The sequence below is a fragment of the Homo sapiens genome, chromosome 5, assembly GCF_000001405.40.
Source record: "Homo sapiens chromosome 5, GRCh38.p14 Primary Assembly".
Classification (NCBI taxonomy): Eukaryota; Metazoa; Chordata; class Mammalia; order Primates; family Hominidae; genus Homo; species Homo sapiens.
This window is the reverse complement of record NC_000005.10, coordinates 99,979,006-100,006,055: the sequence shown is the minus strand read 5'-3', so window position 1 is coordinate 100,006,055 and position 27,050 is coordinate 99,979,006. Positions and strand designations below refer to the sequence as shown.

The following is a 27,050-nucleotide window of genomic DNA, read 5'->3' as shown; positions in this document are numbered from 1 at the left end:
AGTTTACAGGTATGAGCCACTGTACCCAGCCTGCATATCTGCTCTTACAGTTAAGTAGCATACATCAGGGATGCCTACAGATAATAAAGGGTGAGATCAGAAGATTTTGGAATTGATTTGAATGAATTATTAACACTGTAACAAAGTCAAGACCACCACAAAGAGCATCTTTTTGCTTGTGTGAGTACTAACAAAGAATCAAAATGAAAAGAAAGTTTAGGAAAAAAATGGGAAAAATTAAACTTCCTGTCACTTAGTAGACAAATATTAATAACTGCAATATGTATTCAGCAGTGTTTTTGCTTGCTAAGCCTTGTGTTATACATACATATTCTTCCAATGACTGTCTTAACATGTTACTGGGTTTAAGATGAGGCAAAATCTTGATATTATCACTATTTGAAATAGAATTTAAATTAGATAAATAATATTATGTTAATTTGTTAACATTTCCAGTTGACCAAGAAGAATATACTCTGTCACACAATTATAGTACATTTAAAATTATTTTTATGCATATATACTCATGTGTCAACAATGAGGATACATTCTGAGAAATGCATTATTTTGTTAGGGGATTTCTTCATTTTATAAACACTGTAGAGTGTACTTACACAAACCTAGATTGTATAGCCTACTACGTACCTAGGCTTACTATACACTTAGGCTATATGATATAGCCTATTGCTCCCAGGTGACAAACCTGTACAGCATATAAATATTATGAAGACTAAAGGCAATTGTAACACAATACAAAGTATTTGTGTATCTAAACATATATAAACCTAAAAGGACACAGTAAAAATACAGTATAAAAGATTTAAAAAAATGGTACACCTGTATAAAGTAGTTGTCAGGAAAGGAGCTTGTAAGACTGGAAATTCCACTAGGTGAGTCAGTGAATGAGTGATGAGTGAATGTTAAGGCTTAGTACATTACTGTATACTACTGAACACTGTACACTTAGCCTACACTAAATTTATTTTTAAAACTTTCTTTCTTCAATAATAAATTAACCTACACTTAATGAAACTTTTTCACTTTATACACTTTTAATTTTTAACTTTTTGACTCTTTTGTAATAACACTGTATTAGTCTGTTTTCACACTACTATAAAGAACTACCTGAGACTGGGTAATTTATGAATAAAAAAGGTTTAATTGACTCACAGGCTGAGGAGGTCTCAGGAAACTACAATCATGGCAGAAGGCAAAGGGGAAGTAAGGACTTTCTTCGTATGGCGGCAGGAGAGAACCAGAGTGAGGGAGGAACTGCCAAACACTTTTAAACAACAAGATCTCTTGAGAACTCACTCACTATCATGAGAACAACATGAGGGAAACTGCCCCCATGATTCAATCACCTCCTGCCAGGTCCCTCCTTCAACACATGGAGATTAAAATTTGAGATGAGATTTGTGTGGGGACACAGAGCCAACATATCAAACAAAGCATATAACATAAACACATTGTACCAAACCTCACTGACACGCACTTGATCTATGTAACAAACCTGCACATGTGCCCCTGAAACTAAAATAAAAGTTAGTAAAAATAAAATAAGTGTACTCTGAAAGTATGGTTGATACTCTTGAAATAATATAACTATTACTGGGCTTACTTTTCTCTGCAAGAGAATATTTATTCTGAATAAATAGAAAATATTTAAAGTCATGTAGATAATTAGACAAATTATGATAAAATATATCATCTTTTCCCTCTTAAAAGCTACTTTTCACTTTGGATAAAGATTTTTAAAGAGTCTGCTTTAAAAATAAATACCATTTTTGTTAAAGAAAAACAAAAACATATGTTTCTTTATATCTTTATAAGCTTTTTTCCTATTTTCATATTATTTTAATTTTTTGTTCTTTAAATTTTTGTTAAAAATTAAGACATAAAGATACACATTAGACTAGCTCGACACTGGTTCAGCATTATCAATATCATTGTCTTTCACCTCCACATCTTTTCCCACTGGAAGGTGTCTTCAGGGGCAATAACACATATGGAGCTGTCATTGCCTATGACAACAATGCCTTCTTCTGTAATACCTCTCGAAGGACTTGCCCTAGACTGTTTTACCAGTATCCTTTTGTTGTTGTTGTTGTTGTTAGTAAGTAAAAGGGGTACATTCTAAAATAATGATAAAAAAGTATAGTATAGTAAATATATAAATCAGTAACATAGTTGTTTATGTCATTATCAAGTATTGTGTACTAGACATAATTGTACATGCTATACTTTTATATGACTGGCAGAAGGTTTATTTAATATTGTTTCTACCAGCATCAACACAAACACACAAAAATGATTACACTAGGACATTACTATGGCTACACAATGTCACTAGGTGATGTGAATTTTTCGGCTCCATTATAATCTTACGGGACCACTGTCATATATGCAGGTTGTTATTGACTGAATGTTGTTATGCAGAGCACAATATCACTCAGAAAATACTTTGTTTTATTCTACATCATAAAGTATTTTAGAATTTCAAATGTGTGTGTTTTAAAATGTATTATGACTTCTACCCACATGGTAATAATATCCTTCGGTTAGAAAGTCAGTTCACATTTACTGAATTCATTTTAGTCTCTGATTAAATCTTAACTGAAATACTTTGATTTGCTCCAGGCTAGAACGTTTAGAATGGAAACAATGCCTCTACTTCTTCTACTTATTTCTTGTTTCTTGTATAACTAGAGAAAGATCTTGTGCAGTCTTGTTTTCTATACTCATGGGGAAAAAGAAAACCATATCAGGAACTTTTGTTGCTCGGGGTCAGTTACCAGCATTGAGTATGTAGCAATAAGGTAAAACTAACATTGGCCTAGTCATTAATATTTCTTATTTCCTTATAAATGCTAAACGATATACCATGCACATTTTATATTTTCCTTTACTATTTTCCAGCCTTTTAGTTCCTTGTTTACCAACAGAAAGTACTACATGGCCAAGTCTTGTATAATTAGTCCTACATATATGGTAGAATCAACCAAGTTCCTGGGTATGAGAAACTTAAGAAATTGTAGTACAAATCCCAGACATTAATATCAAATGGCTTCCACTGATGATCCATTCCTGACCTTGTGTCGCGGTGGTGATAACGGGCCTCCTCTCGTTTTGTGTTATGTCTATTGAGCTTTCTCGGGAGCTGTTGTGGACATTTGTTGCTTCTGCCAACTAAGCATCATTGCTCCTTCTTCTGGTAGCCACATCCCTATTTATCTTTTGGGAAATATTCTTCCCTGCTGCATTCAGTCTTGATCTACTATATTGATTCCTTTTATATACAATCCCTCCACAAATCCTGTTGACCTAAGGTTTAATCTATATCGAGAACTATCCTCTTCTTACTATTTCCATATTTCCCAGTGTCTCATACCTCAATTACAAAACCCTGCTCTCTGCTCTTTTTGCTTCCCAAATGTAGCTCTCTACAGTCTTTTCTCAGTAGAGCAGCCAACACGATTCTATTAAAAAGTAAATTAAACCACATCACTCCTCATCAGGATTCTCCATATTTTCCCATCTTACAATACAAATTAAAGCCCCAGCGGGATTTACATGTTCAGTCCCCTGTTATTCCTTAGAGTTTATCTCCTTCTGCTAGGAGGACATTATCATGAACATCATCATGACATTTTAGCCATGACCTTAAGTGAATATTCTCAGATATTTTCAGGAATATATGCCTTGTTTTTTTTTCAGATTTTTATCCAAATATTTGAACGGTGTTTTGTACATAGTGGGAAATCATCTAATATTTGTGTCTGAATAATTGTCAGACAAGGCTTTCTGCCTTCCTCTGACAAAGCATAGCCACATATCCAAGAATACATTTATTGATCTCTCATCTGTCTTTCTCTAAAGAAATTGATTTATGGAGTAGAGTAGATAAGGTTAAAAAGAGTTAAACTGATGCTTGTTGATAAAAGTGCCTTCTCATTTACCAGAATATCAGGGACCTAACCATGAGCACTTGTCCTTTTCAGCTGGTGGCAGATTTTCTAGTTGCCATTTACTTACCTTCAGTATTATATCCTCTCTAGTCCCAGTTACTCACCTGCCTGTGTGAACAACCCCAGAGCTAGAATCTCTTCTTCCACATTCCAATGGTGACTGCTTTCTGGAATTGTTTTAATTTTTGACTATATAAAGACACATGCACACGTATGTTTATTGCGGCACTATTCACAATAGCAAAGACTTGGAACCAACCCAAATGTCCAACAATGATAGACTGGATTAAGAAAATGTGGCACATATACAACATGGAATACTATGCAGCCATAAAAAATGATGAGTTCATGTCCTTTGTAGGGACATGGATGAAATTGGAAATCATCATTCTCAGTAAACTATCGCAAGAACAAAAAACCAAACACCACATATTCTCACTCATAGGTGGGAATTGAACAATGAGAACACATGGACACAGGAAGGGGAACATCACACTCTGGGGTCTGTTGTGGGGTGGGGGGAACGGTGAGGGATAGCTTTAGGAGATATACCTAATGCTCAATGACGAGTTAATGGGTGCAGCACACCAGCATGGCACATGTATACATATGTAACTAACCTGCACAATGTGCACATGTACCCTAAAACTTAAAGTACAATAATAATAAAATAAAATAAAATAATAACAATTTTTGACTATGGGATAGCTAGTATCTATATATAAAGATGCTGTTCACACTAGGGCAAACATTTTAGCATGTGTTGTGTCATATTTTTCATAGTATAAGGAGTAGAAATGTGAAGAATATCAAAGACTATTAGAAAATGTGTCAAATTCTTCTATTGTAAATATACATGGGGTTTTTAACAAAACACACATTCTTCAAATTGATATTATGTCTAATATAAATTGAAATATAGTTACATCATTATGATGGTTTTACCTTTTTCCATTCTCAAAGGCCCACCTTGAAAAACATAAACTCTCTCTCTTTTTTAAGTTCACAATTTATTTATGACCCAAAAGGCCTATAAATAGTCTGTAAAACCTCTATCAAGTGAAAACTGTCTACAAGTAAAGACATATGATATTGTGTCTCAGGAAAAGAAAAAGGCATATATTTATCAATTTAGTAATTATCAAATATATATTAAGTATCTACTGTATACGAGTTACTCTTACAGATGCAGGGGATGCAATGGTGATTACCCTATGAAATGGCCTATGCTAATATTTTGCTTCGTAAACATTTGCCTGTTTGGAATAAAATACCAATTTCCACTGCAACAGCCTTTAGAAGACATTTTACATTATTAATATTTGTCCTGTAAATTAAATATTATCTTCTTTGTTTTCCTAATTGTATTAGAAATAAACTGACTGAATCCTCCTTCAAACTTTATCCTCTTTATGATAAAAGAGTTACTTACAAGCCCTATTCATTTTTTTACCAGACTATATATATCTGTCTTTACTTATTTAAGGGATATAGGAAAGTTAAATAAATGTGTACCGCTTCCAAAAATAGATGCTTAATCTAGTAGAGGATAATTAAATGGAAATAAATATATTTTTTAAAGTTTGGATTTGTTTAGCAAATATCTACTTATATATTAATGATGAAATATGACACTTGTAAATTATGAAATACCTTAAGCATTATTATTTTAATTTCAAACTATATATTCATTACTATATAGAAATTTTATATAAATACATGATTCTACACATAAAAATTGATAGCTATAGAACTTAGTACCTAAATACATCAACAATATTAGTTACTATTGCTTTAATTTAGTATATTACTTGTTTGGTTTTGCCAAAATTTCCATTTCATTATGTGATGAATAGCAATAAATAGGGTTTGCTCTCAAAGGTCCATTCTTATAAAAAATGGAAACTACTTTCCTGCGCGTGTTCACATTTGTAACTAAATTCACTCCTGATTTGGCATGTGCTTTTCCAATATGAGCAATTCCAAATCCCCATAATGAAAGTATGGAATAATATAGAGACTTGAATAGATTGAATAAAAGACTTATAAGTAATCAGATGTAAGTGTTATTATGACCATGCCATCCAAAAATAATACAGTTTCAAGAGATTGAAAATTGTGTATATTGATCCCCAAATTCTTTCATCTCAGAAAAAATAACCACCTTTTCTAAAAAGAAAAAAACTACTTTAAAACAGTTTCTTCAGATAGATGTTCCTAGGGTAAGTGTTTTAAAAGTCAAAAAAATTTGAACTTATTTTGTAATAGAGTTATGATCAATTTAAAGATGAACTCAGTGAATTAAATAGTAAGTAAAGAAGAAACTAATTTTGATATTTCCCAAAGAGGCTAGGTTAATGTCTAATTGAGATGATGTATTTTCATACCTTTGCTTTTCAAATTTTACAACAGCATATTGATTTAGAATTTTCCCTGAACATAAGTCAAATCCATTTTTTCCTACTTTATCAATGCAGAAATATTCCTAATTCTGAAATTAGCATTTTTAATATGTGAGTTCATATTGATTCTAACTACAACTTTTTAAAAAGTCCAACAGCCAGTATCCCGTGTGATTATTTCGTATTATTCATCCATTTCCATGGATAAATTTAAACTGTTATCACATGCCTATTTGTGTATTTAGAAGTTCACTGATAAAAGAAAAACAAAAAGAAAACAAAACACTAAAATTACGATGTGGGTTATAAAAATTGCTTGCTGTGTTTATCTGAAGTATAACTTGTCTCATGTAGATTTCAATATATTTCTTGCATAGAAAGCATATAAATCAGGCATTATTGATTTTTTACTTTTTGTGAATGCATAACAATCATTTTCTTTTATTTTTTATCTGGATAGTTTGGGGCAGGTTTTGTGTTTGTGCATGCTTTATTTTTATTTAATTAACTATATAGCTAATAATTGGTAATATTTGACATCTTCTTCAGTGCTGTTCTTTTTCATTATTTTTCAAAATAAGCCTTTTTTTTCTGTTCCAAAGCTTATCTGGAAGGTGTATTATTCTTTTTTAAAGTGGCATGGTTTATTTGGATTTAGTTTTGAAACTTACTTATGTTTTCATTTCTCAATTTAGCCTTCGTGTATTTTCCATTCCTAATTCTAGCTCATTTTATCACAGATTCAAAATATATATTTTACTGAATGCTGAATGATGTCTGCTTGCATATCTAACAAATTGAACATGAATGATGTATTTGACTTACAGGAGATACACTGTGAAAATCAGTGATATCAGGGAAGGTTAAAAATGTATAAAGCATGTTATTACCACAGAAGTATAACTGGGGAAATTGTACTCCTCTTATTTTGCATTAGTACATATAGAAACTTATAAAGGGTGGGCTGAAACAGAATAATTTAAAGATCAGGCTTCTCAGAGCACAGGGCATCAAGTCTCCATTTGTAGCTGTAGGGACTCTGTGAAGCACATATCACAAAACTGCTCTTGACAGTTTGGACAGTGTGGATTTACTCCAACTGGCACTGGGATGGCCTCCCAAAGGGAGCATAGTCAAGGTGCACACGGGCCCAAGTGCCCATCATCTGTCAGACACCCTTTCTCATCTCTGACTTGGGTTCATTTCACTTTATCTCTGAGACACAGACACCACGTCACCCATGACATCTGACAGAAACTACAACAGATTGAGAAAATAAAAATAAACCTTGAAAGCTCAACATTTAAATCATGTTGTATTTCTTTGAAAAAGCTGTTATTTTATTAAAATGCATCCTTAGTCTCAGATGTGCTGGCTTTTCTTTAAAAGTGAGTTACCATTCAATTCTTGACAAAGAAATGGGTAATTGATATTTCATTCGTATTTCTCAAAATGAGTCGCTTTTTTCTCATTAAGCTTTGTTTTAATGGGTCTCAAAATTCTGCAATAGATTTTTTGTCAAGTTGTTTCTATTAAAAAGTATGGATTTTAAAAACTAATAACTAAAAATTGTCAAATGCAAAAATAAAATAGTTCACAAAACACTTTCCTTTCCTTCTGAAGGTTTTACGATGCATTGTTATCATCAACCAGACTTATTGTTAAACTTAAATGGCCAATTGAAAGGAATAGTTCTGAGACCATTCTTCCACCACTGATTAAGACTGGGATGGTAGGTAGAGGTATCATATTCATTTAGCCTTCTGAGTTGTCTGGGCAGACTTAGTTACCTTGCCAGCTTCATAAACCTTCTTGTCGACTACGTTGATGACACCCAAGCAACTGTTTCATATGACGAACAGCAAAATGACCCAGAAGAGAATAGTTAGAGAAGGTCTCAACACACATGCACTTGCTAGGAATCTTATCAATGATGGAAGCATCACCAAATTTCAAGAATTCAGGGTCATTTTCCAGCTTCTTACCAGAACAGTGCTCAATCTTTTCCTTCAGTGCAGCAAACTTTCCAGCAATGTGAGCAGTGTGACAATTCAGTACAGGGGTGTAGCTAACACTGATTTAGCCTGGAAGTTTCCGAATAATCATCTGAGCAGTGAAGCCAGATGCTTCCATTGGTGGGTCATATTTGCTGTCACCAGCAACATTGCCACAACGAACATGCTTGACAGGCACATTATTAAAACTGAAGCCCACGTTGTTCTTAGGAAGAGCTTCACTCAAAGCTTCATGGTACCTTCCAACAGACTTTACTTCAGTTGTAACATTGACTCAAAGAAAGGTGACCACCATGCCAGTTTCAGAACACCAGACTCCACTTGGCCCACAGGGATAGTACCAATATCATTTTGTAGACATCCTGGAAAGGCAGATGCAATGGCTTGTCAGCTGGGTGAGTTGGTGGTAGTTTGCAAACCAGACCTTCAGGCAGCATGGTTCCACCGGCATTGCTGTCTTTATCAATGACTTTCCATGCCTTGAACCAAAGCATGCAAGCACTTGGCTCACCATCCCAACCAAAAATTGGCACAAATGCTACTTTATGACGGTAGTAAGTCAATTTTCTTAATGTGAGGGCTGACTTCCTTAACAATTTATTCATATCTCTTCTGGTTGTAGGGTGGAATCTGTGGATTCTACTTTTGTTAACACCGACAATTAGTTGTTTCATACCCGGTGTGTGAGCCAGAGAAGCATGCTCATGGGTTTATCCACTCTTGGAAAACATAGCTTGAAAATGACCAAGGCCAGGAGCAACAATCCGGACAAGCCAGTATGAGATATGCCTGCAATCAGATTTTTAATAAAGTAGCTGTGTCTTGGGTCATCAATGATAGTCACATAATACCTGCTGATTTCAAATTTCCACAGAGCGATACCAATGATGATACTACATTCACACTCGACAGTTTACTATATTCACACTCGACAGTTTATTAAGACTGACCCAGGCATACTTGAAGGAGTTCTTTCTCATCTCAGTGGCCTCATTCTCAATATTTTCAATGGTTCTTTCGTTGATTCCACCACATTTGTAGGTCAGATGGCCAGTAGCGGTGTACTTGCCCAAATCTACATGTCCAATGACAACGATATTGATATGAGTCTTTTTGTTTCCCACTTTGGTTTTAGGGGTGGTTTTCATGACATCTGTGTTCTGACAGCAAACCTCTTGCGAAAAGAATGAGTTGTTTTGCTTTATCAGTCTGCTTGGGCGATCAAACTCTGTGACCAAATGGGCAATCTTGTGTATGGCATACTTCTTTTAGTTAAATAGTATTTCATCTCCACATTATAGACATGGACTTATAACTGTGTCAACATAAAAGGCAGGCGGATCACCTGAGGTCAGGAGTTTGAGACCAGCCTGGCCAACATGGCAAAACCCCTTGTCTCTACTAAAAATACAAAAACTCGCCAGGCACAGTGGCACATGCCTGTAATCTCAGCTACTCAGGTGGCTGAGACAGGAGAATCGCTTGAACCCGGGAAGCAGAGGTTGCAGTGAGCCGAGATCGGCCACCGCACTCCAGCATGGGCGACAGAGCAAGACTCTGTATCGAAAAAAAAAAAGAAAAAAATCCATTGTTAACTTTTACCTGACTTTGTTTATGTTTGTTTTAATTTCATCTATACTGTTGGTTCAGGGAAGGTCCTTTGCATACTGTTTTATACTGTGATAGGGATGACTATATCTTCAGGTTTTCAATACAAGAGCAAAATGTATAGAACTACAAAAATACATTTTTAAAAAATAATTATTTTGACTCCTGTTTCCCCAATACTTTGCATCATAATTGATTGTATAACACTTTCTATAAAATAGTACAAAACAGAGACTTCATTTCTCTTAAGACCTTTTTATTATGAAAAACATTTCTTGCACATTTTCCCCTTCTTGTACCTCCCGTCATGACATTTTCTAAGCTTTCTTGCTTTTTGATGGTTTGCCTCTTAGATATAGATGGGTATTTTGAAAAGGATTTGCGGTGGTTTTCCTAGAGTATGATTTACAGCCAGTGAACAGTTTCCTATAATAGTCAACATCTTGCTGTTAGTCATCCATTTGCATTGATTATTTTGCATTACATATGCAACACTTAAATTCTCTGTCTGGCATCTGATCTTTTTATAAACCACCCAAATTCTACTTTATTGTGATACTTGGAGTTAGGTCCATGCAGAGCAGAAAACTTATTTCATAGTCCCTACTTGTTTATTACTTGTATAAATCCAAGAGATATTATTGTGTCTCAGTGAACTACATGCATCTAATTAATCAACCAACAACTCTGAGCACCGTATGGTACACAGATAAGTATAAAACAGTAAAAGAATGTGTTCAGCATTCTTACAGTCTGAAGTGACAAGACATGAAAAAAAGGAATCAACAAAAGAAGTGGAAGAGAGCAAAACATTATAAATTTATCAAAGAGTTGCAGAAATAAGTGCTAGGACGTGCAGAGAAGAACAGCTTCCCATGGAGAGAAATTGGACATGGGAGTAGAGATGGAATGCAAAGAGAGATGATAAAGGAACATTAAAGAATAAATAGATTTATATTGGTAATTTGAGGAGATAGAATATGAGGAAGATGATCCTTAGGAGAAGAGAGTTGGAAGACTGTTAAAAAACACACGGATACAAGAAAGAAAATGGAATTTGTGGCCGGGCACAGTGGCTCATGCCTGTAATCCCAGCACTTTAAGAAGCCAAGGCGGGCGGATCCCAAGGTCAGGAAATAGAGATCATCCTGGCTAACACGGTGAAACCCAGTCTCTACCCAAAATACAAAGAATTAGTCGGGAGTGGTTGGGGAGGCACCTGTAGTTCCAGCTACTCGGGAGGCTGAGGCAGGAGAATGGCGTGAACCCGGGAGGCAGAGGTTGCAGTGTGCCGAGATTGCGCCACGGCACTCCAGCCTGGGTGACAGAGTGAGACTCCATCTCAAAAAAAAAAAAAAAAAATAGACAATTTTCCTATTGGTAATGGTTTGTGTATATAGTGTGAACTAAAACTGGAAGAAAAGTTTGTGTTTTGAACCTAACAGCATAATATACCATGTTCAGCAGCCTGAGTCTAATAGGTAGGTTGTATGAATCCCATATAATAAATTATTATTTCAGCAAAACCAATAAAGTACTATGCAAATGTGTCCTAATAATTAAGTTGGAAGAATAGACCATCTCATTTCAGTGTTTCAGCTGGCATATAGGGACATGAAACAGAGCATTAGCTGTAGGAATAAAAAGAAAGGGATGGCTGAAAGAGAAGTTACACTGAAACAAAAGATTGGATAATTAAGGTAACCCTGAAATTTGTTTTGTCAAGAAAATTATGAATTCAGTTTTCAAAATGCCAACTTTTAGGTGAAAATGGAACATCTCAGTGTTTCTGTTTAGCTATTTTAGATGGAGGGTCAGAATTCAGAGAGATTAAAAACAAGGGTCAAACATTTTAGAGATGAGCTTTGAGGTTTCTATGAATTTTTGACACTGAAGCTCTGTTAACAATTACCAATTAAGTTTCCCGTAATGTTAAACCCTTTCATATATGTTTGTGTTGAACAAATAAAATTTTTCTGGCCAAAGGCTAGGTTCTAAAATCTTTCCCCCATTCCACCTCCTGGGAAATATATACTATACTTCATAAATTTAAAACATCACTACAAAATCAACTCCTAGTACCTATCCTACTGATACTGGAATAGCAGTGAAGTTCCATTTGTAGTGGCACATTCCTCCTATATGATAGAGACAAGTTTTCTTTTTCAGAGCAGTTACTACTATATCACCAATAATTTATGTACTTTATGTTTTCTTCCATTGATTCTTATGAAGTAATTTTCATAAGTACCTTGTTATTTACACATGATACCTGTCTACTTGGTAGACAAGTATTTTAGCCTCTCATTTCATTTCTTGCTAAATACCCTATTATTCTATAGTTAGCCCTTAGAGAAGTAGGTACACTATTTACTTATAGTAAAACCACTTTTGAAATAGTAAGTTAAATATATAATGGGCCAGATCTCATTTAAATGTAGAATTTTAGAAAGCTAAAGTGCTACAGGAAATTGGTTATTTGGCATTCCAGTGCCTTATAAGTTATAACATTTATTAGTATTATTAACACCTAGTATTAATAATACCATATATATTTCAAAACTGTGCAAAATATTTATTTTACTCAAGAAGATCAAATTCAAAGTATTTTATATGCTATTGTAGAGTAGGGAGATCTTTGTTTGATTATGATCATCCTTAAAATTAATAGCCCCATTTTTGGTATTACAGATCCTGGCATGACTGAGCCCATGCCAGTCTGTTAGAGCAATAAATTGAAAATGCATGCAAATCCTTTATTATTTCTACCTTAAAGAGTTGAAGTCTATTTTTTTCTTCCTTTGAAAGAAGGCAAGTCCTGTGACCTGATTTAACCAATAGAATGTGGTAAAGTGACCTTGGATAAATGCTCAGATTACATGTTGAAAGATCTGGAGCTTCCACCTTTAACCACTTTACATGCTCTGTCTTAAAAGCCAGCCGCCTTGTAAGATGTCTGACTACTTTGAGAACACCATGCTGTGAAGAGGCCAATTATCTACATGACCCTATATAAGTCACTTAGCATGGTAATTTGAAAATAGGGAAAATAATATCCTCTTTAACTACTTGATACTCTGAAGATTCCCTGACTAGTAAATATGAGTATATTGTAGATGAGTATATATTACTTTTCAGTGTATACTTTTGTGAATATATATTTAAAAATAAAACTTGCTCCGCAAAGTCTTTGACCTTGAGAAACCGAGAGTTTAATGTATTTTTGAATATTCTATGTATCCTATATTTTAGGATATTTACATAGGCTATGTGAACTTGAATAATAAATATTTGCACAGTCTAATATGCAAAGGTAGCTCATCTCTGGCCAAGGCTGTATTGGCATATGTGGCACTGAGTCTATATTAACATTCTGTAAATAACAAAAAACAACTTGAGTTTAAGTAGAAAAACTCTTATTTTGAGGATTCAAAAATCAATGGGCCAAAATATACCCAGAGCTCAGAAATCAATTGAAATAAGAAATAGAAATACATCAGTAACTCAAGATAACCTTATTTATGGTTCTCAATGTTTAGCTACATCACTATTCTTTGGCTGTAACCTGTATTATGTTCTGCAACTTTGTTCAAGTACTGTAGACACATTGCTCTATAAGGCATACATCGTAAAGTTGCTTTTTTGAAGGCACCAGCACAAATTAAACTATAATCTTTTAGATACTAATCATCTAATACCAATTTTAAATCATGGGAAATGGATTATTGTCTTTGGTAAAGTCGCCACTTGTGCAGTCATTTGTGGCCATGGGAACAGAACTTATTGTACTGACACCTCCACTGAAGTTACAACCATATGAATTAGGGAATAGACATGGATTTCATAGGAAAAATAATGTTATTATTGGCTTAAGCTGGGCGGTAAACCTAGAGGGGTCTCCTACTGGTTGCTATTAGTGGAGATAGAAAACTCATCTTAATTTGTCTGGTCTCAGGACAAATTTCCTTTTGACTATCATTTTTCTGATAATATTTCTGATGCCATCTTCCTTTATCATCATGGTTTCATTCAGAAGGAAGTGACCTATTTGATTTGTAGCTGAGAAAACATGTAATTAAATAACACCCTTGGGCTCATTCTATTTTTCTGCCTTATCACAAAATAAAAAAGAAACGTCTCCTAAAGGAGAAATAAAGAAAATACTGATACATAGCAAATGATACTTTAGATTTGCCTACAAGGACAATCCTCTTACTACAAAATAAGTGACTATAAAGTATTGGAGAACTTTGGAAAAAAAATAAAACAACTACCTAAGCATTGTGAATGCTGTAACGTAATTTATTAAGTTTGTTCCAAAACACAAAGAATTATTAGATCATCTTTTATTGAAGCTGCTTCATTATCATTATCAGCATTTGTAACTTCAACAAAAGCAATACTTCTAAACTAGAAATATATTAGATTCTTGAAATTATGTTAAAAATTAAGACGTTATAGGAGACATTTATTTTAAACTTCCAACACATTTATATTAGCATTAAAACAGAAAATATGTAAAAAGCTTAAATGAAAAATGAAAGATTTAAATATAAGGTGAAATTTCAAAGATTATGATGTTTTTACTAGAAAACAAATAGAAACGATATTTTAATTGTTTTTATTTTAGTCATTCTCATCTCCCCCACCTTTTGTATGCACTTGAAAGACATGTGTGAAATTGAAGAGAATAACAGTAGACAACAAAAAGAACACAAAAATATCACTTACGAAGATTTTAGTTATAAGCAGGAGCTAAAAAAAAAAAACCATAAATTTGAAAGCCACCTTATGGAAATAGCCAGTAGGATTTTATCAATAAGCATACTGATGTCTATTTGTACTGCATAATTTATAAGCACATCGGGATATCCAAGGCATGAAAAACACAATTCAAAAACACAAGCACAAAACCAAACAAACAAGCGAAGAGCATATACCTGAATATATTTGGAATATAAAGCCTTAGAATTAAGCTTAAAATTGAGGATAGCACTGATTGTAGTGATCATCATATCTAATAAGCAACTAGTTCATTAATCTTAAGAAAAGGCTTCATTTATATATTTGATAAGATAATAACTTACAAATCACATGCTTCAGTGAAGACAGTGGAACAAATAAGTTCTAATTAAAAAATGTTTTATAAACCAAATGGTATCACGTAAGTTCATTTTATTAGGCTATTGCCACAGCTATCAAAATATCATAAAATAAATGATTAATAAGGCAAACAATACTAGTTTATTATTTAACCAAGATTTACTCAGCACCTAATATTTGTAAGCCAAGTGATAGGTCCTGGTAAATAATTAAAGAGATGAAAAACACACCATATCTAAGAAACACTCTAAAGCATTAAAATAATAAATGTATTCACTACACAAGGTTAGAAAAGACTAGCAAATAATTGCTAAAGTACTTAATCAAAAGTTCAGCAGGCTGTATGTGCTAATTGAGAAGATGCAGTTGGGGGAGTGAAACTCTCATGATTGATTAGGGGAATATATTTGGTTGTCTCTAGTTGGTCCTAAATTGGAAGTGGGGACAAAAATGAGGGAAATTGTTAGTTATTGTTTAAGCAGTGACTGTTTTGGGATGATTGCTACCGGGTTTGTGGCTTGGCTTCCTGGATTGGTTGCTGCAGATTCTGGGACAGCTCTGTTTCTATACATGATATGTTAAGTCTCTCATTACTTAGGCAAAAAAAAAAAAAAAAATGTGTGTGTGTGTGTGTGTGTATACACATACATAGTTATAATAAATATCGAGAATTATTAACTTTAACATTATAGATAATGTCAGTTATTTATAGGGTAGGTGGTTGGATTTTCAGGGATGGATACCTTCTTTGTGTGAAGGGAAAGAAATTAATAAAAATTACTTATTGAGCATATTAAAAACTGAGTATATTCAGGTCACTAGGATTTAGAAGCAAAGGGGTACAAATCCTGTAGAAAAAAATGATAGAATCATGAAATCATTTGTATTATTTTGACCAAAGAACTGAGGCAATTCAATATGTGAGGAGAGATTTTCTATAATTTTTTTCATCTTAAATTTTCTTGGGTATATAATAGGTGTATATATTTGTAGGGTACATGAGCTGTTTTGATACTGGTATGCAATGCATAATAATCACATCAGGACCTCATGAGGTATTCATTTGAAAGGAGAAATTCAATTACTGTAGTACTAGAACCAAAGATGTAAGTAAATGTAGGACATGCTCATTACCCTCTGCCCCACCTTACAATAATGAAAGGTAAATGAAGTAAGCCAGAATATATAGTTGAACCCACTTTTCATCTAACTCTATGTGAAAGCTCTAGAGAAGATTTTGGGAAACTGTAGAGATGTAGACAAATTAGTGAGGTAATAAATTAATCTGAGTTAAGGATATAAGAATTACTTTTAGTCTTTATGTTAGTGAGAGTTTCTGATTTTGAGAATCTAGCCTTTCTTCCACATTCTCTGGCCAAGTTAATGTAGATATGACTGCATATGTGCATTGGGTTTTCCTGTTTTATTTATTGGCATCTGTGTCTAAAACCAAACGAACAAATATCCTTGAATTGAGAAACTGAAGCAGCTCATTCTCCTTGTTTACTATGCAAGTTCATCTGGGATCGCTAAATTTAGGTAGGCGGTTACTTAGATTACCCTTCTTACCCTTATTACCACCAAGCTTCGGTACAAACAGGTTTGTGGCAGTAAAGCAGAATCAGTTTTTACTGTCAAATTTTCCTTAAATCTCTATAATATCATCTACTTTTATTATCAAAATTCACCAGTGAATACTCTATAGGAATTGAGAAGCCCCACTATCATGGTATCTAAGACATAATCCCTATACACACTGAGTATGTGTTTATTATGGCAAAGCAGACATGTGCACAGATAACTCTAATTAAAGCTTAACAGTTAGTAACCTCATAGATGTACCATAAAGTCATGTAAGTTTTCAGAGTGGACAGTGTGTGTTTGCATTTGAAGTAAACGATTTATTGGATCAAAGTGGCTTTATGTTGAGGATAAGACTGAAATGGATGTTCAAGGAGAGGATAAATCGATTTTGTAGAATGTCAGAAAAGGAGCTTAGATAAATATTTTTCTTAAAAGGAAGTCATATGACTGAAAACATAGAACCTAGAAACTTGTTTGGAAGGAATATAGACATCTCTGGGAAACAATGATAATACAGCTTAGAAGCTAAAGAAAAATAAAACATTATTTTGGAACTATTACGTTTGGAACTATTGCAGGAAATTGGGTTTACAAAACATTGCTGTGGATGAGATATTTATATGATGCCTATCCTCTACCAGCCTAAAGCTTAACTTGTGGGATGATAAAATAAGTAAACAGAAAACAATCCAATCGACAGGATAGCATACATGTTATATGAAACATACACTTCACTGATTAAATCCATACATTTGCTGTAACAAAACTATTGGAAATTAATACTTTCCTATGTTAGATTTAAAATAAGATTAACAAATCCTGTTTCTGCATTATAATTTTATACATTTGATTGATTCAAATTCTGCTTAAATATTTTTATTGTTTTACAATTTGGCTGGCAAAAATAAGAAAAGTTTCAAATTTTTTATGACCATAATTTTCTAGGCTTCATGCACTGTTTTACCTTTAAAAGACACACAGTGAAAAGTACTTCCTGCTATCATGGCATAATTTTGTTTTTGGAGCCACTCTTGTCAAGGCAAGGATATCTAGAATTGTTTTGCTAGGTTTTTCTTCTGGGGGAGACAGTTTAACAACTATCATTATCAAAACAAAATATAATTACTAATGATTTTTTTCTGAAAATTGAGATATATAGTAGCTGAATGAGCTAATGGGAAGCCTCTATTCAAGTTGTAATTTGCCTTTCTCATTTTGTGACAAAATATCACTGGAAAGAGAATTAAAAGCAAATATTTTATTTTTACATTTTTATATTTTAAATAAAAAATAAAAATTTTAAACCTTCTCAGTGGAACTTAAAAATAAATTAGTCATAGCTGTCCAAAAGCTTACACTAAGATTACTACTTTTGGTCTGGAGTGTATTACAAGACACAATGATTTTTTAAATTAAAGGCTGTCTAGATTATTCTTCATTAACATTTAAGGCCACATCCAAACTGATTAAGAAAAAACACTAATATTTTGACTAACAAATGTCAGTTTCTTGTCTTTCACCAGCTCAGAATGGTTTAATCTTCTTTCATAACCCCTAGTCTACCTGTCTTTCATGTTTTTTGTTTTGTTTTGTTTTGTTTTTTTGAGACAGAATCTGGCTTTGTCTCCCAGGCTGGAGTACAGTGGCGCGATCTTGGCTCACTGCAAGCTCCGCCTCCCAGGTTCACACTATTCTCCTGCCTCAGCCTCCGGAGTAGCTGGGACTACAGTCGCCCGCCACCAAGCCCGGCTAATTTTTTTGTATTTTTAGTAGAGACGGGGTTTCACTGTGTTAGCCAGGATGATCTCGATCTCCTGACCTCGTGATCCGCCCACCTCGGCCTTCCAGAGTGCTGGGATTACAGGCGTGAGCCACCGCGCCCGGCATCTTTCATGTTTTTGAACCATGCACATAACTCTCCATACTTCATGTGTAATGGCTAATATTTCTGTTTAAAAAAATATTAAACATTTGTTTATCTTGCAAGAGTTTCATTTACCATTAGACATGCATTAAGGCGGAAGTAGTACAGTTAAGAATGTTAGCAGTTCATAGGGTGCAATTTCAGTGGTTCAAGAATTCTCTCAAAGTAAATATGCAGACAGGGTCAACTCGTTTGAGGCTTTCCCCTTTCTTTATACCACCAATTAAGCTTTCTAATATCTACTATCCTTTCTCCTAAGGCCACCTGCTCTGGAACTTTTAAGATAAAAAATAAACTTCTTTGGTAAAAGATCATTTTCTCCTAATGTAAGAATAGAGAGAAACTTGCCTTGGTCGTATCCAATACATGATTCTCTTTTTGTTTTATCATTGTTTTGTATCACATCAAATTATACTTTGCAACTCAATTGTCTCCATAACAAAATCTCTATTTGTTTATCAGAGGGAAAAATTCACACAATTAAATATATATTTAATTATATTTTTATTAATTATATATGGAAGCTTTGTTCTTTCGCTCTTCACAATAAATCTTGCTGCTGCTTGCTCTTTGGGTCCGTGCCATGTTTAAGAGCTATAATACCGCGAAGGTCTGCAGCTCCATTCTTGAAGTCATCAGGACACAAACACACCGGAAGGAACCAACTCCGGATACACTATCAAAATTTTGGGATTGATAAGAAAAAAGTATATAGAATGAAAAAAACAAAAGCTATTTATTTTTACTGAATATTCTTCTTTTGATATCTGCTGACCATGGGATATAAGGAATTATAAGATAATTCACTGTCCCTTAGGTTCCCATTACAGATAGATATATACATACATATATATACACATACCGTTAATTCACACAATATATATATTTAATTATATATGTAATATATATTTAATTGTGTGAATTAATGGTATATATGTATATATATTTAATTGTGTGAATTAATGGTATATACATATATATTTAATTGTGTGAATTAATGGTATATATGTATATATATTTAATTGTGTGAATTAATGGTGTATATATATATCTGTTATATATATGTGTGTTATATATATGTGTTATAGACTTATGGAGAAGACCTTCAATTATCAATTATAGGTTTTAAATTTACCCTGGCTTTTAAAGGAATAGAGTACACTGTTTTTTCTTTACTACTTTTCTCTCTCTCTCTTTCTCTCTTTCCTTCTCTGACTTTCTGTCTCTCTGTCTCTTCCTCTCTCTCTCTCTGACTCCCTTTTTTCTCTCTGTCTCTTGCTGTCTCTCTTTCCTTCTCTCTTTGACTTTGTCTTCTCTCTCTCTCTCTTCTTCACTCTTTGACTTTCTGTCTTCACCACCCCCCCCCACCCCTTTCCTCTCTGCTGTCTTTCCCTGCCTCTGCCAGCCACTTATGCTGCTGTTCTCCCCTCTCTTTCCCCTTTTTGATGGCTTCAGCACTGTAAGACTGCCACCTCCTTGGGTTTTTGCACTGTGTGCAATAACTCCATGATTCCCTAGTGGTATTTAATGGGGCTTCCCCCAGAGGTTAGGAACTCCCTTTCTTTCCATATTACAGCATGGGCATATAGGATTAGATAAGCATACTTGCTATCTGTATACACATTTATTCTTTTTCCCTTTCCAAGTTCTAAGGCTCGGGTAAGTGCCACTAGTTCTGCTAACTGGACACTGGTCCCTGGGGGAAGAGGCTTACTTTCAAGTACTGTTACATCACTAACTAAGGCATAACCTGCCCTTTGTGTCCCATTTTCCACAAATGCACTTCCATCGGTATATAGGTTAAGGTCAGGATTAGCTAAGAGGACTTCTAAGAGATCCTCTTGGGTAGCATATGTCTGGAATATAATTTGTTGGCAGTCATGCTCTATTGGTTCCCCATCCTCTGGGAGAAAAGTGGCAGGGTTGAGTGCTGCACACATCCATTTTTGAAGCACTGGTCCCTCAAGGAGTAGCGCCTGATATCTAAGCCGGTGGTTGTCTGATAGCCATAACTTCCTTTGGCACCTAGTATGCCATTTACATGGTGAGTAGTCCAGACAGTGAGATCCTTTCCTTGTATTATTTTGATAGCCTATGATACTAAGATGGCCACTGCTGCAACTACCCATAAACAGTGAGGCCAGCCTTTTACTACAATATCAATTTCCTTACTTAGGTATGCCACTGTTTGTGGGGTTGTCCCATGAGTCTGAGTAAGGACTTCAAGACCTATTCAGACTCTCTCTGTGACGTATAAAGAGAAGTTTTGTCCTGTGGGAAGTCTTAAGGCTGGAGCTTGTATTAGGGCCTGCTTTAAGGTTTTGAAGCTTGTTGCTGCGGGTTCCTTTCTACTAGATGAGTATTTGCCCTCTGGGTCTCCTTAATTAGAGGATATAGGGGCCTGGCTATCTCGCTATATCTGGGGATCCTTAGTCAGCAAATGCCAGTGATTCCAAGGAACACCCACAACTGTTTTAATGTCTTAGGGTGAGGATAAGCCAGTATAGGCTGTATTCGTTCCTTGCTGAGGGCCTTGGTTCCTCTGGCTAAGATTAGGTCTAGATATTTAACTTGTTGTAGGCAGAGCTGGGCCTTCAATTTAGACACCTTGTACCCTTGATTAGCTAGAAAGTTCAAGAGATCTAGAGTAGCCTGCTGGCATGAGGCTTCCAAACTGGTAGCAAAAGTAAATCATTCACATACTGAAGGACCAGAGTCCCTGGACTTGAGAAGTGGCCTAGATCTTGGGCCAGTGCCTGACCAAACAGATGAGGGCTACCCCTAAAACCTTGAGGCAAGACTGTCCATGTAAGTTGGGACGTGCGGTCTGTGGGATCCTCAAAGGCAAAGAGAAACTGGGAGTCAGAGTGCAGCAGAATACAGAAGAAGACATCCTTGAGGTCCAGAATCATGAACCATTCTGCTTCCTCTGGTATTTGAGAGAGCAGAGTATAGGGGTTGGGTACAACTGGATATAGAGGAATTACTCCCTCATTGATGAGTCTAAGATCTTGCACTAGTCTCCACTGACCGTTCGGTTTTTGTGCTCCTAGAATTCAGGTTTTGCAGGGACTGCTGCATTTTCTTACTAAGCCTTGAGCTTTTAAATGTCTAACAATATCCTGTAATCCTTTATGAGCTTCAGGCCTTAAGGGATATTGCCTTTGATAAGGAAAAGTGATGGGGTCTTTTAGCCTGATTTGGACTGGGTGGGCCCTTTTATATTCAAAGACATCACTACACATTTCCGCTTTCTTTCTTAAATTATCATATTATTTTTTCCCCTCTCAGTTCACTGCAACCTCCACCTCCTGGGTTCAAATGATCCTCACCCATCAGCCTCTCGAGTAGCTGGGACTACAGGCAAGTGGCACCATGCCTAGCCATTTTTTTTTCTTTTTTCTTTTCTTTTCTTTTTTTTTTTTTTTTTTTTTTTTTGAGACAGAGTCTTGTTCTGTTACCAAGGCTGGAGTGCAGTGGTGTGATCTCAGCTCGGTGCAACCTCTGCCTCCCGGGTGTAATCCCAGCACTTTGGGAGTTTGACACAGGTGGATCACTTGAGGTCAGAAGTTCGATCCCCCGGTTTCACCGTGTTGTCCATGATGGTCTCAAACTCCTGACCTCAAGTGATCCGCCTGCCTCAGCCTCCCAAAGTGCTGGGATTAGAGGTGTGAGCCATCATGCCAAGCCTCAGCCTTTTAATGAGTCATAGATCACTCCTCAAAACCCTCATCATCCCTGCACTCACAAAGCCACTGTTCCAAACAATCATTAGGCCACAGATGAGTTGCCATAGTAGCCTCCTAACTGATCTTGTTTCCCCTGTCCTTCAATCATTCTCACCATAAAGCCAAAGTGTTTCTCTGTAGGCATATGCCACTCCTCTGGTAAGACTTTTTATGTCAAAGACTTTTTATGTCACTCATAGTGAAATCCCAAACCCTTAGAAATACTTAAAATATTTTGAGATCTAATATCTCTTAATCATTCTCTCTCAATCATTTCAAATACCTCTCCACACTTCTTCCTTTTTGGCTACACTATCTTCCTTGCTATTCCTAAACATCTCAAACATGTTTTCTGTAAACATTAAACATGTTTAATCTGAGATTTTGCCTTGTTGTTCTCCCTAAGATGCACTTCCCAAAATATTTCCCTTGTTATATCTCTTATCTACTTTAGATTTGTATTAAAACATCATCTTTGAAGGAAGTCTTGCTCTAACTATTCAACCTAAATTAGCACTTCCTCCCAACCACACCTTCTATTCCCTTTCCCTGCTTTTTAAAAAATAACACCAATCTGTGTTTTTTTTTTTAGACAGAGTCTCGCTCTGTCACCCTGGCTGGAATGCCATGGTGCAATCTTGGCTCACTGCAAGCTTCGCCTCCTGGGTTCAGGCCATTCTCCTGCCTCAGCCTCCTGACTAGCTGGCACCACAGGCGCCTGCCACCATGCCTGGCTAATTTTTTGTATTTTTTTTTTTTTTTTTAAGTAGAGACGGGATTACACCATGTTAGCCAGGACGTTCTCAATCTCCTGACCTCATGATCTGCCCACCTCAGCCACCCAAAGTGCTGGGATTACAGGCATGGGCCACCACACCCAGCCGGTAACACCAATCTTTAAATAACATTTTGTATTTTGATAATTTGTTATGCTCATTTTCTGACTCCTCTCTACTTACTGTGACCATAATTTAACATTCGTGAAGGTGGACACTTTATGTTTTTTAAGTTGTACAATTCATACATATTGTTTGAATTAATCAACACTTATTCCAAGTGGTTGTTTTAAAAATAGAGGAGATAATATATATAATCTGAGTAAATTTGGTGAATAGTAGAATCTTAATAAATGCTTTCTATTATCAAGGAGAGTCCTTGAAACCTCAATGATATGATCATATATTATGATATGGAGGTGGGCATCTGTATTGATTTGGAGAAGGAGGTTCATTAATTTCCATTTCAGTACTCAAGGAACATTTGAATGGAAAAGTGAATAGTAGACTTGTCTATCTTCCTGCTTATAAAAACAGAAGGTAATTTTTTATTTAACTTAAGAAGCTAGAGGTTGCTACTTGAATTGCATATTTAGATGGGGATTTTCCTAATCAAAGTTTTTATTCCCATTGAATTAAATATTGCAATATATGTCATTTTATTTTTGGTTTTGTAAATAGTAAATAATTTTATAACCCAAGGTTATTAAAATTTATTCATAATCTTTATTATATAATAACAGTGACAATGGTGAAAAATCTTTGTGGTCAAAAATACTGTATAATTAATTAAATATTTTTAAAAATTGTCAGTTTAAAAGAAAAACTAATATCTAATTTTCACTAAAACAGCTCTTCTTATAAAGATTATTCGAAGCTGTTATCTATCAGTTTGGGTATATATTTAGTTTTATAAAATTGGAAAAAAAAAGTAAAACTTTACTTTTAAAATTAACACTCCATGTCTTTATACCAATTAATGGTCATAAAAGCTGAAAAATGATGTGTAACAACTCATCAAGTACTAGGTTGGATGAATTAAAAATCCTTTGAATGGTCCTAAATTATCTCTCTGGCAAATTAAAATATTTAATTTAAATATGTGATTATAAAGTGATTACATATTGCCTGGTAGCTGGGGTTACTGGTGCATGCCAACATGCTCAACTAATTTTTGTATTTTTAGTAGAGACAGAGTTTCACCATGGCTGGTCTCATACTCCTGACCTCAAGTGATCCACCTGCCTTGTCTTCACAAAGTGCTGGGATTACAGGCTTGAGACACTGCGCCTGGCCAACAGCACAGTTTTTAAATGAATTATACCAAACCTTCAAGGAAATGATATGCCATATCTTATATAATTTTTCTTAAACCTCTCACATCGTTTATAATGTTGATAGCAATATTCCCAAAAAGTCTGTATGAAACAGTCATATATTCATTAAAATATGAGTATACTTAATTCATCAATGTGCAAATAAAATAATGATAGAGGCAGGATAATTTTTTGCTCCTTAGTTCAGCTAAATCCAGGTTCTTTTCTCGCGACCAGGAAAAATTGGGCACATAGACACATTGAAGGGTGAAGAGGGCAGAATTTATTGGGTGAAAGGAAAAGAGAGGGGTCCTGCATGCAGGTTGGCTCCACCACATTCCCTCAGTGCATGTGGCCCTCCAGTCCCTGCAGGCATGCCTAGGAAAACCCCCTGGGTAGGTTCCCTTATCTGCACAAAACATTTGATGTAACACTTGGGCAGGTTGGAGATTCTCCAGGGACCCTTCCTTATCTACCTGGGCATTTGTCTGCCTCCTGCCTCTATTAGGAATACATTGTGGGCCGGGCGCAGTGGCTCATGCCTGTAATCCCAGCACTTTGAGAGGCTGAGGCGGGCAGATCACGATGTCAGGAGATCGAGACCATGCTGGCTAGCATGGTGAAACACCATCTCTACAAAAAAAAATACAAAAAAATTAGCCTGGCATGGTGGCAGGCGCTTGTAGTCCCAGCTACTCGGGAGGCTGAGGCAGGAGAATGGCGTGAACCCAGAAGATGGTGCTTGCAGTGAGCCGAGATGGTGCCACTGCACTCCAGCCTTGGCGACAGAGTGAGACTCCGTCTCAAAAAAAAAAAAAAAAAAATACATTGTGACCAAGTAGGTTTTAAATTTGAAGAGCGTGAGTGATATAATATTAAGAAAAACTATTACTATACATATGAATATTAACAGACTATTACTCTTTGTCCATATTAAAAACACTTAAAATATGCCAATAATAGGGACTTTTGGTAACCAACCAAAACATCTACATAACACCTCTAGTAATCATATTATTTAATGTTGAAATATTAGGACCATTTTCATTCTGATTAAAACATTAGGATTAAGATAGGAATTACCAGAGTTTCGAGTCAAAATTTCGTTGGTGATTCTAGCTAACATAATGAAACAACAAAAAATAGTATAAAGTTAGAAAGCAATAAATAAAATTCACAAAAGTTAGGATTGAATATCAATAAAGTCAATGTCTACATAGAAACTTTAACTAATAGAATTCTAAAAGTATACACATTCTGAAAGATCATTACACTAAATGTGTCAATGCCCTTTTATAACTACAAACAACATAGGAATAAATGAAAAAAAAATAACTCTAAAGTCTGACTGCAGCTAGAACTATTACCTTATGAAGGAAATAAAATAGGACAAATAAATAATAATTTACACTTCTAATGAAATTTAAATCTGCATATCTCAGCCATTCTACTTTCAGGAAATCTTGAAAAACTTGGAAAAATTTTAACCAATCTATATAGGAAAACTTGGACAAGGCTATTTATTATACATTTTATGAATTGTATAATGAATAAATGAATTATAACTCATATAATAAATAAATTTATAGTGTAATTATAAAACATGAATAAGGAGGAAACTCCTAAAATGTAGAATAGTGGTTACTTTCAGGTGGGAGAGAGAAGAATAAGAGTGGGGAGTCAAACAATGGAGACATAGAAGAATTAAACACGATGATAAATGAGACAGACTTACAATATGCATTGGATATACATGCTGATAGAGGATGTGTCACCTTATCAAATGTACATCAATATTTTAAAATGGCTATATATTACATGATAGAGAACATCAATAAGTTTGCTGAAATAGAAATATATCATTCCCTGATGAAAAAGCAATCAAAAAGGAAATTTTCAATAAAATAAACACAATAACATACCAAAGGCCTTTCCAGCAGGAAATTTAATAAAACCTTTTCCTGAAAGAAAAACAAGAAAAAAAAAAAACTCTTGTCTAACAAGGGAAACGCAAATCTTAAAAAATCCTATCAGATATCTATAACGTTCATTTTTTAAAACCTATAAGGGACAGATATTGTTTTGAAGCACAGGCAAAAATAAAAAGCTCTTCAAGCCATTATTAAAAGACTAGAAAAATCTCAATATCAAACTGGCTAATCTTACTACTGTAAGCCAATATCACTTCTGCATTTAAATGTAAATATTCTAAAAAAATGAAAAATGTCTGTTCTGTAGAAAAATAATGAATCAGGGCCACATACTGCTTATAAAAGGAGATCTTTACCACTTTTCCCAGATACAAAATGCTTCATTATATGGATGTATTAATTTATTCATTCACTGTTCTGTTTATGGGCATAGTGTTTTATTTTTCCTTTATCTTCTTTTAGTTACACATAATACTACATGAATATTTTAGTTGTTGTTGATGTATCATTAGCCTTAATTCATAGAAATAGGTTTGCTGGGCCAAAGGTTAAATGTTAATGTGCTTTTGTGGGATATTGCCAGATTTCTCTCCAGTTAGAATTGCATATGAGCAATGTTTTATCCACAGATTCACGCTCAGACTGTCATCATACAGTTTTGTACTAATCTGATAGGTGAAAAGTGAGAAATTAAA

The 27,050-nt window shown here is 34.8% G+C and overlaps 1 pseudogene; it reads right to left on the bottom strand.

The window, feature by feature from the left end:
* Nucleotides 1-7,925: 7,925 nt before the first annotated feature.
* On the bottom strand, nucleotides 7,926-9,569 carry EEF1A1P20 (eukaryotic translation elongation factor 1 alpha 1 pseudogene 20; annotated as a pseudogene).